General features: G+C 39.2%; 1 protein-coding gene and 2 pseudogenes across 6 annotated transcripts in view, besides 1 other annotated feature; all 3 read right to left on the reverse strand.

The window, feature by feature from the left end:
• The window catches only part of PLD5 (phospholipase D family member 5), a 447561-nt gene that overhangs the window by 289796 nt on the left and 140773 nt on the right, over positions 1 to 16992 (reverse strand). The window lies entirely within an intron of this gene.
• Positions 3944 to 4686, reverse strand: LOC100419801 (zinc finger protein 532 pseudogene; annotated as a pseudogene).
• Positions 5739 to 5918: a silencer, noted in NCBI's record as "fragment chr1:242541822-242542001 (GRCh37/hg19 assembly coordinates)". NCBI's record gives its function as "represses an EF-1alpha promoter that drives an FKBP-Casp9 reporter gene in an ReSE screen in phorbol 12-myristate 13-acetate-treated (for megakaryocytic differentiation) K562 erythroleukemia cells {active_cell/tissue: K562(+PMA)}" and the evidence as "EXISTENCE:reporter gene assay evidence [ECO:0000049][PMID:32094911]".
• On the reverse strand, positions 10564 to 12015 carry LOC100421344 (DEAD-box helicase 55 pseudogene; annotated as a pseudogene).

The raw sequence follows: 16992 nt of genomic DNA on the forward strand, positions 1-16992 counted from the left end.
AAAAATTAATTCAAGATGGATTAAAGACTTAAATGTCAGACCTAAAACCATAAAAACCCTAGAAGAAAACCTAGGCAATACCATTCAGGACATAGGCATGGGCAAGGACTTCATGTCTAAAACACCAAAAGCAACGGCAACAAAAGCCAGAATTGACAAATGGGATCTAATTAAACTAAAGAGCTTCTGCACAGCAAAAGAAACTACCATCAGAGTGAACAGGCAAACTACAGAATGGGAGAAAATTTTTGCAATCTACTCATCGGACAAAGGGCTAATATCCATAATCTACAAAGAACTCAAACAAATTTACAAGAAAAAAACAACAACCCCATCAAAAAGTGGGCGAAGGACAGTTTTTGATGAACAGACACTTCTCAAAGAAGACATTTATGCAGCCAACAGACACGTGAAAAAATGCTCATCATCACTGGCTATCAGAGAAACGCAAATCAAAACCACAATGAGATACCATCTCATACCAGTTAGAATGGCGATCATTAAAAAGTCAGGAAACAACAGGTGCTGGAGAGGATGTGGAGAAACAGGAACACTTTTACACTGTTGGTAGGACTGTAAACTAGTTCAACCATTGTGGAAGACAGTGTGGCGATTCCTCAAGGATCTAGAACTAGAAATACCATTTGACCCAGCAATCCCATTACTGGGTATATACCCAAAGGATTTTAAATCATGCTGCTATAAAGACACATGCTCACGTATGTTTATTGTGGCGCTATTCACAATAGCAGAGACCTGGAACCAACCGAAATGTCCATCAATGATAGACTGGATTAAGAAAACGTGGCACATATACACCATGGAATACTATGCAGCCATAAAAAAGGATGAGTTCGTGTCCTTTGTAGGGACATGGATGAAACTGGAAATCATCATTCTCAGCAAACTATCGCAAGGACAGAAAACCAAACACCGCACGTTCTCACTCATAGGTGGGAATTGAACAATGAGAACACTTGGACACAAGAAGGGGAACATCACACACCAGGGCCTGTTGTGCAGTGGGGGGAGGTGAGAGGGATAGCATTAGGAGATATATATATATAATATAGGAGATATAATGTAAATGACGAGTTAATGTGTGCAGCACACCAACATGGCACATGTATACGTATGTAACAAACCTGCATGTTGTGCACATGTACCCTAGAACTTAAAGTATAATAAAAACAAAAAAAAAGAATGTCGGAACAAAGCACCACATTGAGCCACAAAGTTTTCTCTGGTCGCTGTTCATACAGCCATCACTATCTACAAGGAGAGTGCAGGTTTACTACGGTCACAAGGTGAAAGAAAGGTCTGTGGAGTTGCTGTCAGGCTGTGCATACATCTTCCTCTCTTTCAGTCATTGATAGCAATTGCATGTCAATTCTTTGTGCTCCTGTACCACGACATATTTATTATGCCCTCAAAAGCAACACAAACCACCTGAACTCCTAAAACACAGAATAAGTTATTAGAAGATCACAGAACCAGGAAAAGGAAAACGGTAGGCATGGTTTACATATGCGTTCTTCCTCTTTCCTGGGAGAAATGCTTTTTCAGTTCCTCCATTGATCGGAGAGGCTGACATTTTCCTTCATCACCAAGGTTTTCTTGTGGCTCAGAAAACAATATCTCTAAATGAAGCCCTCAGAGAAGCAAACATTTTTCTTTGACCTTCACCTGCTCGCCTATCTCTCAATACCATTCTCCCCCAGGGCTTGTCACAGAAACCAGAACACTAAAGAAACCAGAACCTAAAGCCAGCCATGAAACCTAAAAATATTACTATAACGTTCCCCTTTGCCTTTCTGTGTAAAAACTGGCCATAAAGAAATTATGTGGGTGTTAAGACCCCTTTCCAGAGACAGCCCTGCCCCACACCCAGAAGGAAGAAACGTTACACAGAGAGGCCAAGAAGAATCTAGACAGACAAGCCTTGCTGGGTTTCCTCTCTCCATCTATTAGCATTAGATCTTACCCTTTTTGTCTAATTATATTTCTACACACTGTTCATACTTTGTTAAACTTAAGCCCAAAAATGGACAATTTACAGCATATCCTTGAGTCTTCATTCTGAGGGGCTCCCGTGTTGATGCAATAAATTTGTATGTCTTTCTCTAATTAATCTGCCTTTTGTGAGTTGATTTTTTTCAGCAAAGCTTCAGGGGTCAAGGGCCTTGGCCCCTACAGTTTTACACACAGGGACAGCAATCACCAGCACCTATTTCCCTGTGGCTTTACAGTTTACAATGCCATTTTGCACACCTGGCTGTCATTCCCTGCTCTCATCTATCCTAACCCTCTCTCTTTGGTCAATATCCCCGAGCTGCGTAACCATCCAGCCTGTCCCTACCAAGCACGTCCTAGCCTCTCCCTCAGAGTCTGCAGGTAGTGGCAACAGGCTAGAGGTTTGTGTACGGCTGCATCTGGAGGGAATGGTGCTATTCTGGCAGCTATACCTTGGATGCCACTGTGCAGTCAGTCAGCCGTGCCGTCTGCCTCATTTTAAAGTCCCCCCATTCTTCTCAGGCAAACCCAAAGAGCTGTGCTATCCAGTTTTCTTTAGAAAGGTCTGAGCAGCCCTGCTGGCTCTGCAAGGGCATCAAATTGGGATTTCATAACTGCTTGCCTCCCAGAGGAGACTTTAATTTTTTTTACAAGGGCCAAATGTCCCACGTTTATCTACAAATGAAATGTGTTTCATGCAGTTATGATGGATGGAGTGCATAACACCTGACAGCAGCAAGACCTTTCGAGGAACCGAACGTTGACTACAGTATATCATGCAAGTATCTATATATACACAAAAGAATTCCTTTACTTAAAAAAATAAGTACAAAACATGTTGAGGGATAAATACAAGATATAAAATGCAAAAGAAAACACAAAACAAAACCAAAAAATAGAACTCTCTCAGAGAACTATAAACGGAAGGGCCAGAAGAGTATCTCTGTTGCATTTTAATAAAGCAGAACTACCAACATTAAATATACTTCTTGAAATGGCTGAACTAAACCCGGGTGGCTCAGTGCTTAAGGTAACGGCCAATTGCAATACACAGGCGGCTGCATTGATAAGTCGGTGGTTGAAGTTGCACATCCCAACTCTAAGTACCAGAACATTTGGCAGCAGCACCCAGAACAGGAAACGCCAACTCTTTTGACAGCAAAGGGTTAAGTCAACTGATTTTTTTCTGTCAAGAGCCAGAGAAATACTTGATATTCTTAGTTGTGTTTCTGTAATATTTAATAAATTACATGACAAAAACCTGATTATATAAATCTATTGGTCTAACTACGTATTTGCAACTTTTATAGTAGTCCAGCCCTTTCGTTACTTTCCCTCCTTGTGCTCTTAAAGCCAGCCTTGCAGGTCTGCTGAGAAAACAAGTCCCATTTTTTTCTTTAGAATAGCCTTCCCCATTCCTCAAAATGGAACTGAGGAAATCAGCCTTCCTTATTAGATTCCTGGCTTCAGTTTTTATCCACGGCTGGGAAACGAGCAACCTGCAAGACTGCTTTAAACACCCTTCGGCGTGGCCTGAAGACAAAGGCACGCCCACACTGGAGTGCAGTTGTCTCAAATGTGAACTCACTTCCTGAGGGCAGGCACATCGAGGAAGTGCTGAGACACTTAAAAGTTCCTAGTGTTTTTGAGACCCACAATTACTTACTATTTATGTAGTGAATTCTAACAATTAAAAACACTAAAAAAGGCATTATTTTAGCCTGTAATTAGTTAACCCATTCAAAATCCAAACATACAAAATGGTTTATTTGAATTCAGGAACTGCCCTTGTTACTAAGAACTCTGTTTTAAAGAAACAGTACAAAAAGAAAAATTCTAACCCAAAACAACTCAAATGGTTTTCCACTAAATACTGATACAAACATGTAACAAAGAGTATAAAAAGTTGTTCATTTAAATATATACAAACTCTTTTAAACGCAAATACTGTTTTAATACTTATCGAGGATATATACGACGAGGTGAAGGAAGGTACGTTGAAAGAGAATATATTGCAACAGCCTAGACAGTACTGTTAATTCTATTATCCCACTGCAAACTTTTTGTAACAAAAATGTCTTTTTTATTCCAATGTGGACAGGGATTTTCCTCATGGATCATCTGTGGCTATTTCTCGGCTGAGCTCATCCTTTTGGATTTGATGAAGGCCATGCCGTGTATCCGCATGTGAGTATTTGAGGCAGCTTCAGTTTCAAAAGTTTTTGCGCACACTTTGCACTTTCTGTCTGACACGGTGCCATCAGGGGAGTCATCCTCGTGGCTGGGTTTGTTCTCCTGTTGGTTATCTTCCCCAGCCCCATTTTGCTTGGACACTGGCTGAGGTTCCTTTAACTTGTGTACGATGAAGAGGTGTCTGGAGAGAGAGACGTGAGACGTGTAGCAGAGGCCACACTCCCGGCACTGGTAGGAAGAACCATCCGATTTGTGCTGAGGGACGTGTTCGTGGAACTGCAGCAGGTTTTCAGTGGTGAAGCCACACACGGCACACTTGTGAACCTTAAAATCATTGATTTTCAGCTTTTTCAGTGGTTGAGTGATTGCTCCTCAGGGAGACCTGAACTCCAAAACTGGTTCTTCTAACTTCCGCTTGGGACTGGGGACCTTGGTGTCTTCTTTTGTTTCCTCCTCACTGGTGGCATCTGTCATTTCTTTAATTCTTTAATAGTAAACACAGCTTCTTCCAACAAAAGCCTCTGAGGTTGGACGCCATGCCACTCAGTCTAAGCAATACGATTTCATACTCTAGATAGAGACATGACCCTGGTCCCAGTACAACCTCACATAGGAAGGTTGATATCCCAAACATGTACAGCTCATGGGGGAAAAAAGCAGGTAAATAAATAAATAAATAAAACAAACAACAAAAAATACAAACAACTCAATTTAAAAATGAGCAAAGGAGTTCAATGGACATTTCTCCAAAGAAAATACACAAATGATTAATAAGCACATGAAAAGATGTTCAACATCACTATAGAAAAATGCAAATCAAAACCACAATTAGATACTTCACACTATTAGGACAGCCAGTATACAAAAAACGGAAAATAACAAATATTAGTAAGGAGGTGGAGAAATCGGAACCCTATACATTGTTGGTGGGAATGTAAAATGTTGCAACCACTGTGAAAGATAGTGTGGTGGTTTCTCAGAAAAATTTAAGATAAGATCACCTTATGATCCAGTAATTCCACTTTTAGGTATACATCAAAAAGAATGGAAAGCAGGGACTCAAACAGAGAAATGTACAACAATGTTCATAGCAGCATTATTTGCAACAGCCAAAATGTAGAAACAACTCAAATTAGGAGATGAATGGATCGACAAAATGTGATAAGCACATAGGACAAAATATTATTCTGCCTTAAAAGAGAAGGAAATTCTAACACATGCCACAACGAGTGAACCTTGAAAACATTACGCTAAGTGAAATAATCCTGACACAAAAGGATAATGTATGATTTCCACTTACACGAGGTACTTAGTGTAGCCAAATTCAAAGAGAAAAAAGTAGAACAGTGATTACCAGGGGCTAGGGAAAAAGGAGGAATGGGGAGCAATTGCTTAATGGGTATAGAATTTCAGGTCTGCAAGATGAAAAGAGTTCTGTGGATGGATGGTGGCAATGACAGCACAACAACGTGAATGTACTTAATACTACTGAACTGTACACTTAAAATGGTTAAAATGGTAAATTTTATGTTATACATATTTTACCACAATAAAAAACAATTAAAAAAACCATCCAGGCATGGTGGCTTGCACCTGTAATCCCAGCACTTTGGTAGGCTGAGGCAGGTCAATCACTTGAGGCCAAGTGTTCAAGATCAGCCTGGCCAGCACGACAAAACCCTGTCTCTACAAAAAATACAAAAATTAGCTGGGTGTGTTGGTGCATGCCTGTAATCCCAGCTACTCAGGAGACTGAGACATGAGAATCACTTGAACCTGGGAGGTGGAGGTTGCAGTGAGCAGAGATCACACCACTGCACTCCAATCTGGGTGACAGAGTGAGACTCTCAAAAATAAAAATAAAACAATAAAAAATACGTTAAAAAAAAGAGAGAGAAGAAAAAAGGAAAACAACCAACAACTGGAAGGTTTGAACTTTATCAGCTTTTCCTTCCTACTTAGGTCTCTCCCTAAATAATCCAAAGCCTTTCTCTGAGCCCCTGGTTCCCTCTCCTCTCATTCCTAGTCTTTCACACTTCAGAACTTTTCCACCACATTCCAATAGGCAAAACTTACCATTTTAGATGGTACTTCTGCTTCTCCTGCCTAGGAAGCAACTAGCTTAATATATCTGTCCAGCAGTGGCAGACATGGAGTAACGAGGCTTCCACTCAACTTAAATGTAACAGGGAGTTTGCCATTCTGTCTATGGTGTTTACTGAGGCCACCCACATTCAGAGACTTGCGTACCCAGGTAAAATCTATGTTCTTAGTTATAATCTACTGAGCTACCCTTCAGATGGCTCACATGCTAGAGCACACCAGGACCTTGGTTGTCCACTCCTTACCCTCTTGGCCTATTCTTCTCTGCACGTACCTGGTTTCACCCTGCCTAATGTCAAAGGTTTGTGCAAATAAAGCCATGTGTATAAATTTGGGAATGGGGGCACCACCAGCCATTGCTAACATATCAGATCTAAGGAAGAAGGGAAAAACTGTGTTCCAAGAAACATAAAATGTGCAAATCTTCACATGAACCTTGAGCACAATAGCATCCAGGAAAAGTTTTATGGGCATACAATCGACAGTAGTTACAGCAGAGCCCTCTTCATTGCTTTTTGTTTACTACTTTAAAAAAAAAAACTTTGAGTTTTACGCTGTCTTAGATCAAACAGAAACACATGCAGTTTCCATTTTTTGCAGTGGCTATTTCTTTTTCTGACAGGTTGACCTCTTTTATCAGTTATATTACTTCCCCTAAGTTCAGGGAGAGTATACGTCCCAATCCACTTTTTACTGTCCTCCCAATATATTTATGCAAAAAGTTATGTTCAGAGGCTGAGACACTTTACTTATTGCTCCAAGCATCTGCTTTTATTCTATGACCCAGTTTACCTTTTACAGCCCCAGCTTTTCTTCAGTTCTCAACAAAACCCACACAAATGGATCCACACTAACATATTAATGGGTATTAATAAGATTATACAACATACTTCATTTATTATCTGTGGCTATTGCTTCTTGGCCTTTAGCCTAAGAACAAGTGTATTATCTGTGATTTTCATGAGGACACTTTAGAATACCAGGGCATTTGGGGGTTCTATGGCAAACCAATGGGATGACATTTCTAGGCAAACTATGAAAGAGAGCTAACATTTAGGGAAATTCTTCACTTTTCATAATATGGTGACAGTAAAATTATAATATGAAGGTTAGACAACACACGAGACAACTACAAAATTTCTCACTTACAATGGGAAGCTCCTGGGAGTAACAATGTGCTCTTTTCTGCCTTTGGAGTATTTCAGTGGAAAGGTTATTCCTTTCAACAACACCGCATAGCTATTGTGTTACTTTATGGCACGACAAGGTGTTCCAGGCACACCTCATACTATCACTGCTGCAACCCTAGAAACAGTCTTCCCTCTAAGGATTCCTGTGTTTTCTGTAATGGAAAATATTATTTAGAAACCAAGATGGAAGTACTAAGAATGCTCAATGTTATTTGGGGTGTTGCTTCTCCCAAACCCTCTCAAAGCACAAAGCTAGGAAATAAACGCACATATCATGCATTTATTTTGACATTTATCTATCTATGTATATTAATAACCATGAGTTCCAGACAACCTACAAAATGGAAGAAAATTTTTGTAATCTATCCATTTGACAAAGGGCTAATATCCAGAGTCTATAAGAAACTTAAATTTGCAAGAAAGAAGAGAAAAAAAAACAACTCCATTAAAAAGTGGGCAAAGGGCATGAACAGACACTTCTCAAAAGAAGACATTCATGTGGCCAAATATGAAAATAAGCTCAACATCACTGATCATTAGAGAAATGCAAATCAAAACCACAATGAGATGTCATCTCATGTTAGTCAGAATGGCGATTATTAAAAAGTCAAGAAACAACAGATGCTGGTGAGGTTGCATGGAAAAAGGAACACTTTTACACTGTTGATGGGAATATAAATTAGTTCAACCATTGCGGAAGACAGTGTGACAATTCCTCAAAGATCTAGAACCAGAAATACCATTTGACCCAGCAATCCCATTACTGGGTATATACTCAAAGGAATATAAATCATTCTATTATAAAGACACATGCATGCATATGTTCACTGCAGCACTATTCACAATAGCAAAGACATGGAATCAATCCAAATGCCCATCAATGATAGACTGGATAAAGAAAATGTTGCACATATGCCCCATGGAATATTATGCAGTCATAAAAAGGAACAAGATCATGTCCTTTGGAGGGATATGAATGGAGCTGGAGGCCATTATCCTTGGCAAACTAACTCAGGAAAAGAAAACCAAACACCGCATGTTCTCACTTATAAGTGGGAGCTGAACGATACATGGACACAGGGAGGGAAACAACACACACTAGGGCCTATAGGTGGTTGGGGGTGAGGGAGGGGGAAGGAGGCAGGAATAGCTAAAGAATGCTGAGCTTAATACCTAGGTGATGGTTGATCTGTACAGCAAGCCATCACAGGGCACACATTTACCCATGTAACAAACCTGCACATCCTGGACATGTACCCTGGAACTTAAAATAAAAGTTGAAGAACTTTAAAACCATGGGTTCCCACCATCTCAAATTCCAGTTCACATCCAAAGTTCATTTTTCACTTCTCCTTTTTATTTTTGTAAAAATTCTCTTCACTGATAGTAAGAAACCTGGCTCCCAGTATATTTAATATTTGTATATATTTGTTCAATTCCCCTATATATAATCAATCTTCCAACCTGCTAGACTATTGCCTCCCTCAAACAGCTTCCCCACTTAACTCCAAACCCACGGGTGCCTCCAACAAGTGTTAGGGGAGGAAAATAGGAAGGGTGCTTAAACTTTTCAGATCTATTGCTCTGGCTGTTGGCAGAGAATAGACTTGAGAAGGACGAGAGTAGAATCCAGAAGAACAGCTAGGAGTCCACCTATTCACCAGTTCAGAAAAGAGACAAACGACTTAAGAGATAAAAGTAAGTGACAGAATCCAAAATTTGTCTTGGAGTTAGAACTGGAGAGGTAGCCGACGCATTGGCTGTTTGGGGTGGGTGAGAGGGAAAGGAGAAACAGTGGGTGATTCCCGGGGTTTGACTCAGGCAACTGATAGCGGAGACTTTGACAGCAAAAAAAAAAACAAAACAAAAAACTGAACATAGAAGAGGTTTGGAATGAGGTGAAAGTTATCGAGGGTTGTATTTTGGAAGTTTTATATGAGATTCCTGTTAATATCCAATGGGCCATGCCAAGTAAGTAGGTGAAGATTGACATCATTGGCTGCATTGAACATGGCATTTGATATTGTGGGACTAAAAGAGATCATCAAGGGAAAGAATGGAGATACACATGAAAAGTGAGCTTGAGGCCAAGCCCTACAGCACTGTGTCAGAGAGTGGTAGGTCAGAGGAGGATGTGCCAAGAACAGAAAGACAGGAGAGACTGTGAGGTGGGAATGTAATTAGGTGACAGTGGTGGCCTGGAAGCTAAGAAAATACAGTGTTTCAAGCAGGAGGGAACATTTAACTCTGCCCCAAGTTGCTAAGCTGTCAAATCAAGAAAGAGAAGTGCCTAACAGGCTTGGCTTCAAGGAGATTGTAGAAAGAGCTTGATAAAAGCATTTTTACTGGTGTGGTAAGGAAGGTTGGAGAAGCACTGAACAATGAATGGAAAATGTCTTTCTGGCAACGGTAGGGAGAACTAATTATCAGGAGAAACCTTCCTGATTGAAAACATATAAAACAGTTAAGACATTTATTACATTAGTATTTTATATTAAAAATAGGTATAAAGCACCCTCAGGAAAATGAGAGCTTTAATTATATATGTTTCATCAAAATAAATATTGATGGTTATTAATTATATCCAAAAAGGTTTTACATCTCTTCTGTTAAATGTCTTCAAGGACTGATATGTCTTTAGCAAAATATTTGCAGGTGTAAAAATCATTTCTCTTAGATTTAAAGTGATAGCTTTCAGGACAGAATTAGCTTCTTCCTTGAATTTTGATTTGTGGTAGAAACAAATGTCAGCTGTCTAACAAATGTAGATCTACTACATCATTCTCCTGCACTTTCCCTTTCTCTCATGCTTAGCAGCTGCTGGAATGGAATCAGCGATTCTATCTCAGTTCTGAGAGTCCCACGTTTTTTATCTTGAATTTTTTTCATCTCTCATTAGTAATTACTTCTCATTTTTTAAAATTTATTTTTGCTTTTATAATTATTTTTAACTGACACAATCAATGTACATTTTTATGGGAAACAGTGTGATATTTTGACACACGTATACAAAGTGTAACGATGACATCTCAAATTGTTTCCTTTATTAATTCAATTTATTTTTAACTTTCAAGACTTTAGTATATTTAAGAAGTTTGTCTATGTCCTCATTTTTATATCAAAACCCCTTTTCTCTTTTTCCTTGTTTTTCATTTACTTTTTTTCCTTCTTTTCCTTTTTCTAGGGGGAGTGGCAGCTTCTGCTTGGACCATGCTTTATTTTTATAAATATCTTTCTCCCTCATTTTCTGTTAAATTTTTTCTTTTCTTTGCAGTAGCAGAAGCTTCTGCCTAAGCTTTTGTCTAATTTTATCTTTAAATGAAAGCTGGCTGTGTCAGTTTTTATAAATACAAAATCTGCAGACTACTTTCCCCTTAGTCCTAGCATTTTGGGCATCCTTAGAAGGGCAAAATCTCACCAAGACTAGAAAAATCAAGATTCTTTAATTTGAAGACGAGGCTGCATTCAGGCTTTGCATAATCTTAAGCATATGACACAAAAATCTTTCGCCTTTCAAACACAGCTCTGGACTGGCAGGACTTTGGAAAAGACCCACTGCATTTTCCTGAGGTTTCTTCCATGTACTGTTTTTGTTTGCTTGTTTGTTAAAATACAAGGAAACTGGTGTATGTACTTCTGGAAGGTAAAAATCCAAGCACTTGGCTTCCACTGTCACCTCAGGCTGCCTGACACAGAGTCCCAACACAAGAGCACTTGCATTGCTAGAGGAATCCGCTGCAAAATCCCGCTGACTTCGGCAACGGCTGAGCCACTGCATCTGGGGACTTTAAGATTCCACTTTGCAATTTGCAGAATTTGTGTTTGTGTTTCTTGTTATCTTTATAATCTTCTCAGGATCACCAGAGTCTTTCCACAATATTCCAACCAGTTCCAATGACTGATTGATAACCAGATGATTTTCCTGGCTCTGAGTTAGAAGAAAACGCACCATTAAATTACATTCTCTTCTGTACATACTGGGTAACAAAGGTGAAAGAAACTACAGGTGGCTGGGAGTTTCCATGTGTTGCTGGCTACAGCCACTTCCCCTCACAGGGATCCAGACTGGATCCCAGCTTTTCCACTTCCTGAGTTCTGAGGGGCTGGTGAAAGATGTATTCTCTCTGCTTTGGCAAAAATTTTAGAATGGTATTCATAGTCACATCAAATTTCGTGTCCAAAAATTTCTGCTTCATCCAACACCAGAACATTAAAGAATTGTATCCACTGGCTAAATCCAATTCCTTGGTCTTCCTTTGGGATATGCCTTCCAAGTGAATTAACATTGCCACAATGACGCTTCGTCTTATTCATTTACACTTCAGCATGGTCTCCAGGATTTCTGCCTTGGATACAAACAATCTACGCAAACTGTAGCAAGCGTTTTGTGAAATGTGATACGATCTCATTTGTTTGGATAGCCAGTTCTCTTGGTGTGATTGGGTTACCACCTATTTCTCCTTAACATCATTTTTCTTCTTAAAAGAATCTCCAGGATGAAAATAAAAAATTTGAATTACCTTTTGATGAAGCAGTACTCTCTCTCTGGAAATCTACCTTGAAGATATACCTTCACTAAAAGAAACAACACATGCAAAAAATTGTTCATATGGGATTCTTGCTAGTAGTAATATCTTGGGAAATAAATATTCATCAGTAGGACACATGGCGAATTCTGAGTCGGAGGAAGGAAAAGTACCAGGTGAGCCTGAGATATTCTTTTGTGCCAAAAAGCAAGGAAGCTATCAACAACCACTGGAACATGTCAAAAGGATCCAAGAATCAGTTTAAAATCACCAACCAAATTCGGGACACTTTGAGTAGCAAAAGGAATACTTAATGACTATAAGTCACTATAAACAGTAAATAAATTAAAAATCTGTAAGTCCAGTGATAATCAAAAAACAAAGGGAAGAAAAGAAAAATGAAAATTTTCATTACTGAGTATCATTATTACACCAATTCCTTATTCTAAAATGTTGGGGAAAAGCTGAGTGTTGGGAGGGAAACTGAGGCAGGGCTTGCATAATGTCCTCTGGAATGTGTCTAGACTTGCTGGCTCCTTGCTTCTAGCCCTCCTAGGCTCCTAGATCGATTGTATTACCATTATCTCAAGTACATGTGCCTCATAAATGCTAAACTCACAGCTATGGATCATGCACCTGCCCTTTCCACCTCCACATTCTCACCACCTGTTTCTTTGTTGGATTACCAATAAATAGCATGGGCTCCCAGAGCTTGGGGCCTTCGCAGCCTCCATGATTGCGATGGCTCCCTAGTCCCACTTCCCTCTCTCAAACTGTCTTTTTCTCAATCCTTTGACTCCGCCGGACTTTGTCACCCCCACGACCTGGTGTTGGGTCTGATCACCCCAACACTAAAAATCAAAAATTAAAGGGAAAGAAGTAAGCATTTACCCTAACTTTTCAGGAGAAATTGTGCTTTATTCTGAGATGATGAGGGAAAGCTTTTTAAAATAAATGTAGAAGAAATGCTAGAATCAGAAAATGATGGTCAACGAGGTATTTGCATGGTGCCAAATACTACTGTATTAGTTTGCCAAAGCTGCTGTAGTGAAATGCCATACACTGAGTGTATTTCAAAGCTGCTGTAGTGAAATGCCATACACTGAGTGTATTTCTGAAGTAACAAATGTAGTGTCTCCTGGTTCTGGAATGCAGAAGTTCAGGGACCAAGGCATTGACCAGGTTGCTTCCTCCTGAGAGCTGAGGGAGGGATCCATTCCAGGACCCTCTCCTTGGCTTGTAGGTAGCCACCTTCTCCCTGTGTCTCTTCACATCATCTTCCCCCTACATGTGTCTGTCTCTGTGTCCAAGTTTCCCTATTTTATAAGAACACTAGTCATATTGGATTAGGGCTCACCCTAACCACTTTATTTTAACTTTATCTCTGCAAAGATCCTATTTCCAAATAAGGTCTCATTCTGAGGTACTTGGGGGTAGAACTTCAACATATCTTTTTGACAGGGGACACAACTCGACCCAAAATAATTACCTTAGAGGTGACTTGCTCATATCAAAGGAAAACAGGATACATTTGCAATATAAATATTTGGTGATCACAAGCTTAATTAAGTGATCCGTGTGAGCATCAGTAACAGTGGGACAACCTGACGTCATGTACCTCCTGATGTGACGCACTGAGAAGTACACAGCATCACCTACCCAGTCTGCTGGGCACACAGCAAACCTGAACCCAGTCCAGTCTGCAGGCCTTCTTTCAGTTTACAGGAAGGAGAAACAAGGCAAATGTGTCCCAAGCATCACAAAGTCATATTCAGACAAATTCAGAATACAAAGCACTCAACAACACATCTGAGCTGCAGAAGTCAACACCATAAAAATAAGTGTATCAGAACTTCTCTAGAACAGGCTAAAAAAACAGATCAATAAGTAACAATACATGGCTCTTGACTGTACTCTGGTTAGGGAAAAAAGGGGCTTTATAATAGAATTTCGAGACAATTGAGATTTGAATATAGACTGAATATTAGGGAAGTAGTGGGACTATGTGCTTCCTGATGTACAGGTATTATACAATGTTTTGTAGACATTGTCCCTATTTTTAGGGGAAGTAGAGGAAGCATCATGTTGTCTGCAAAATATTTTCAAATGGGTTTTGTTAAATCAATTTGTCATCACTGGAAGAGACTGTTACACCAACCCTTTACTCTGAAAATTCATGATCAAAGGGAAAAGGGGGAAATTATACTCACAGTAGATTTGGCAAATCTTAACAACTGTTGAATTTAAATGGGGAATATATGAGTAATCATTTTACTTCTTTTGAAAAATTTCACAATAAAAAGTTCGAAGAAAAAGATCTAATTAAATAGATACTCCTGTTCATGGATAAAAGAACTTAATTTCATTCTCACCAAAGTGTCCCATCTATTAGATACACTGAAAATCCCAGCAGGGTTGTGTGTGTGTCACTTGATAAGCTAATTCTAAATTGTACATGTATTTCAAAAGGGCCAGAAAATAGTCAAGATCCTCCTGAAGGAGATTAATAATGTGAGATTTTCCCTGCCATATATCAAGACTCCTAACAAGGCTAAAGTGATTCTGACAATGTGGTCTTACTGCAGGGATAGAAAAATATGCCAATGGAACAGAACTGAGAATCTGGAAGCATAGAAGCACAGAATTTAGGACAGTGATGACATCCAGGGCGGAGGGTAGGGTGGAAGAGGGATAAGATTGGAGGGATACCTACAAGGGTTTCAAATGTTCTAGAAATGCTCTATTTCTTTGGCTGGTGATATGTATATAAGGGTTCAGTTTATTATTCTTTAAAGAATACATATATATTTTGTATTTTATCTATTTTATATAAAATTTTATCTATTTTATATAAAATTTTATCTATTTTATATAAAATTTTATCTATTTTATATAAAATTTTATCTATTTTATATAAAATTTTATCTATTTTATATATGATATATATCAAAATAAATATGGACTTAAGTGACAACGAAAGCTGTTTACAGGAATTAGAAGGTAGCAATAAAAAGTATGGACAACTCTTTAAGGAAACGTTCATTATAAAGGAAAACTAAGCATTAAGACTGTAGTTGACAGAGACTGAAAAGGTAAGGTTTGGTCTTGTTTGCTAGGTTGTTTGTTTACTGCCACAAAAGATCCCACAGAAAGGGAAATATTGATAATGCAGGAGAAAAAGGCGATGATCATAAAAGCCACGGCACAGACACAGGGGTTGCCTTGGATTAGATCAGAGACATTTTCAGAGGGACAACAGAAACTATTGTCACAGAGGTAGAAAGCATTTCAGATTTAACGTTGGAAACAAAAACTCTCTGGGTTGTCGTCTTCTCCTTCTTCAATGAAGTATTAGACAAAACCATTAACCTAGACGATAGTGTGATTGCAGAAGGGGATGTGAGGTTTAAGAGAAGAAGGAATGAAGAGGCCTTTTGCAGGGAGTAGGAAAGTCAATGCTTTAGGAAAATGTAGGAGGATGGCTGTGCCGTGATGAGCACCTATGTGAAATGTGTGGTCCTGAATTTACAGTGAAATGGGTCAGCACAGCTCTGACATTTTCCCCTAGCTACTTTCACCTCAGAAGACGCTTCAGTCATTTCCATTAGGTAACTACCTAAGGACTCAGTCAAGGACGCAAACATAAGCACAGACCATGGAAGGCAAGTGGGGCAAAGTAGGAACAGAAGACTGAAGGGAGTGGTGGATATTTTTTAAAAGTAGTGGATGGAATTCCACATAATGGGCTAAGAATTACTGAGGCGGCATAGTAGGGGAAATATACACAGAATGTTCGGTACGCAGGTGATGCTGTTCTTGCTAATAATACAACCTAAGATGTAACCAACCATGTGAATGGCTGACTGAGACGGTAAGGAGGAAATGACTACTAAAAAATCATTGAGATTGGGAGGCCGTGGTGGGTGGATCACGAGGTCAGGAGTTCAAGACCAGCCTGGCCAGGATGGTGAAACCCCGTTTCTACTAAAAAATACAAAAATTAACTGGGCGTGGTGGCGGGGGCCTGTAATCCCAGCTACTCAGGAGCCTGAGGCAGAGAATTGCTTGAACCCGGGAGGTGGAGGTTGCAGTGAGCTGAGATTGCACCATTGCACTCCAGGCTGGTGACAGAATGAGACTCTGTCTCAAAAAATAAAATAAAACAAAATAAAAATAGTTAAATCAAATTATATAACCAAGATTGCGCCACTGCACTCCAGGCTGGTGACAGAGTGAGACTCCATCTCAAAAAAAAAAAAAAAATCATTGAGAAACTAGGGTATTAAATGAAGACTTGAAATTGATGTCGAGGTCACCAGGCATAATAACACGAGTCTGGAAGTAAGAAATTCTGTGAAACTGCAAGCCACTTTTCAACTGTGATTTGTAACTCATGTCCTAACTTTGTAAGTAAATACTTTTCCTAAGTGTAAAAATATAATTATTTATAAATCTTAAATGCTAGCCCCCTGGTATACATGTTACCTTGTGACTCATTTTCTAACTAATAAAGAGCATTTGTAATTTAATACGCATCTTAGAATTACCCATACTCTGAAAAGGTTTTCGTTATCCAAAAAAACAGTTTGCATAAGTTGGGCCATCAATGTAATAAGTATATATCTCTCTTCCAAAGGACTCTGTTTAGATAATATTTATTAAGCTCCCATATTAACACATGGTGTCTAATAAAATCCCAAAAGAGTAATGAATACCTCACTGTGCTGGGGAAAAAAATAAAACTCTCAAATACTCTGAGGGGGGGAAAATCTGTTTAAGGTTTTCAGAGCTGTATCCAAGCAGCAGACGGAGAAATAAATATGCCACTTAGAATTCCTATACCCTTCCTTGGGCAATATAAAATGATATAAGAAAGGCCAAACTGGCTTGAAAAATATTCATCCACTCCAGCAGCCTCTCTACAGTGACCAGACTTAGGATTCATGAGGGATTAATAAACAGTGGGC

This window comes from Homo sapiens, chromosome 1 (assembly GCF_000001405.40).
Source record: "Homo sapiens chromosome 1, GRCh38.p14 Primary Assembly".
In the NCBI taxonomy this organism is placed as follows: domain Eukaryota; kingdom Metazoa; phylum Chordata; class Mammalia; order Primates; family Hominidae; genus Homo; species Homo sapiens.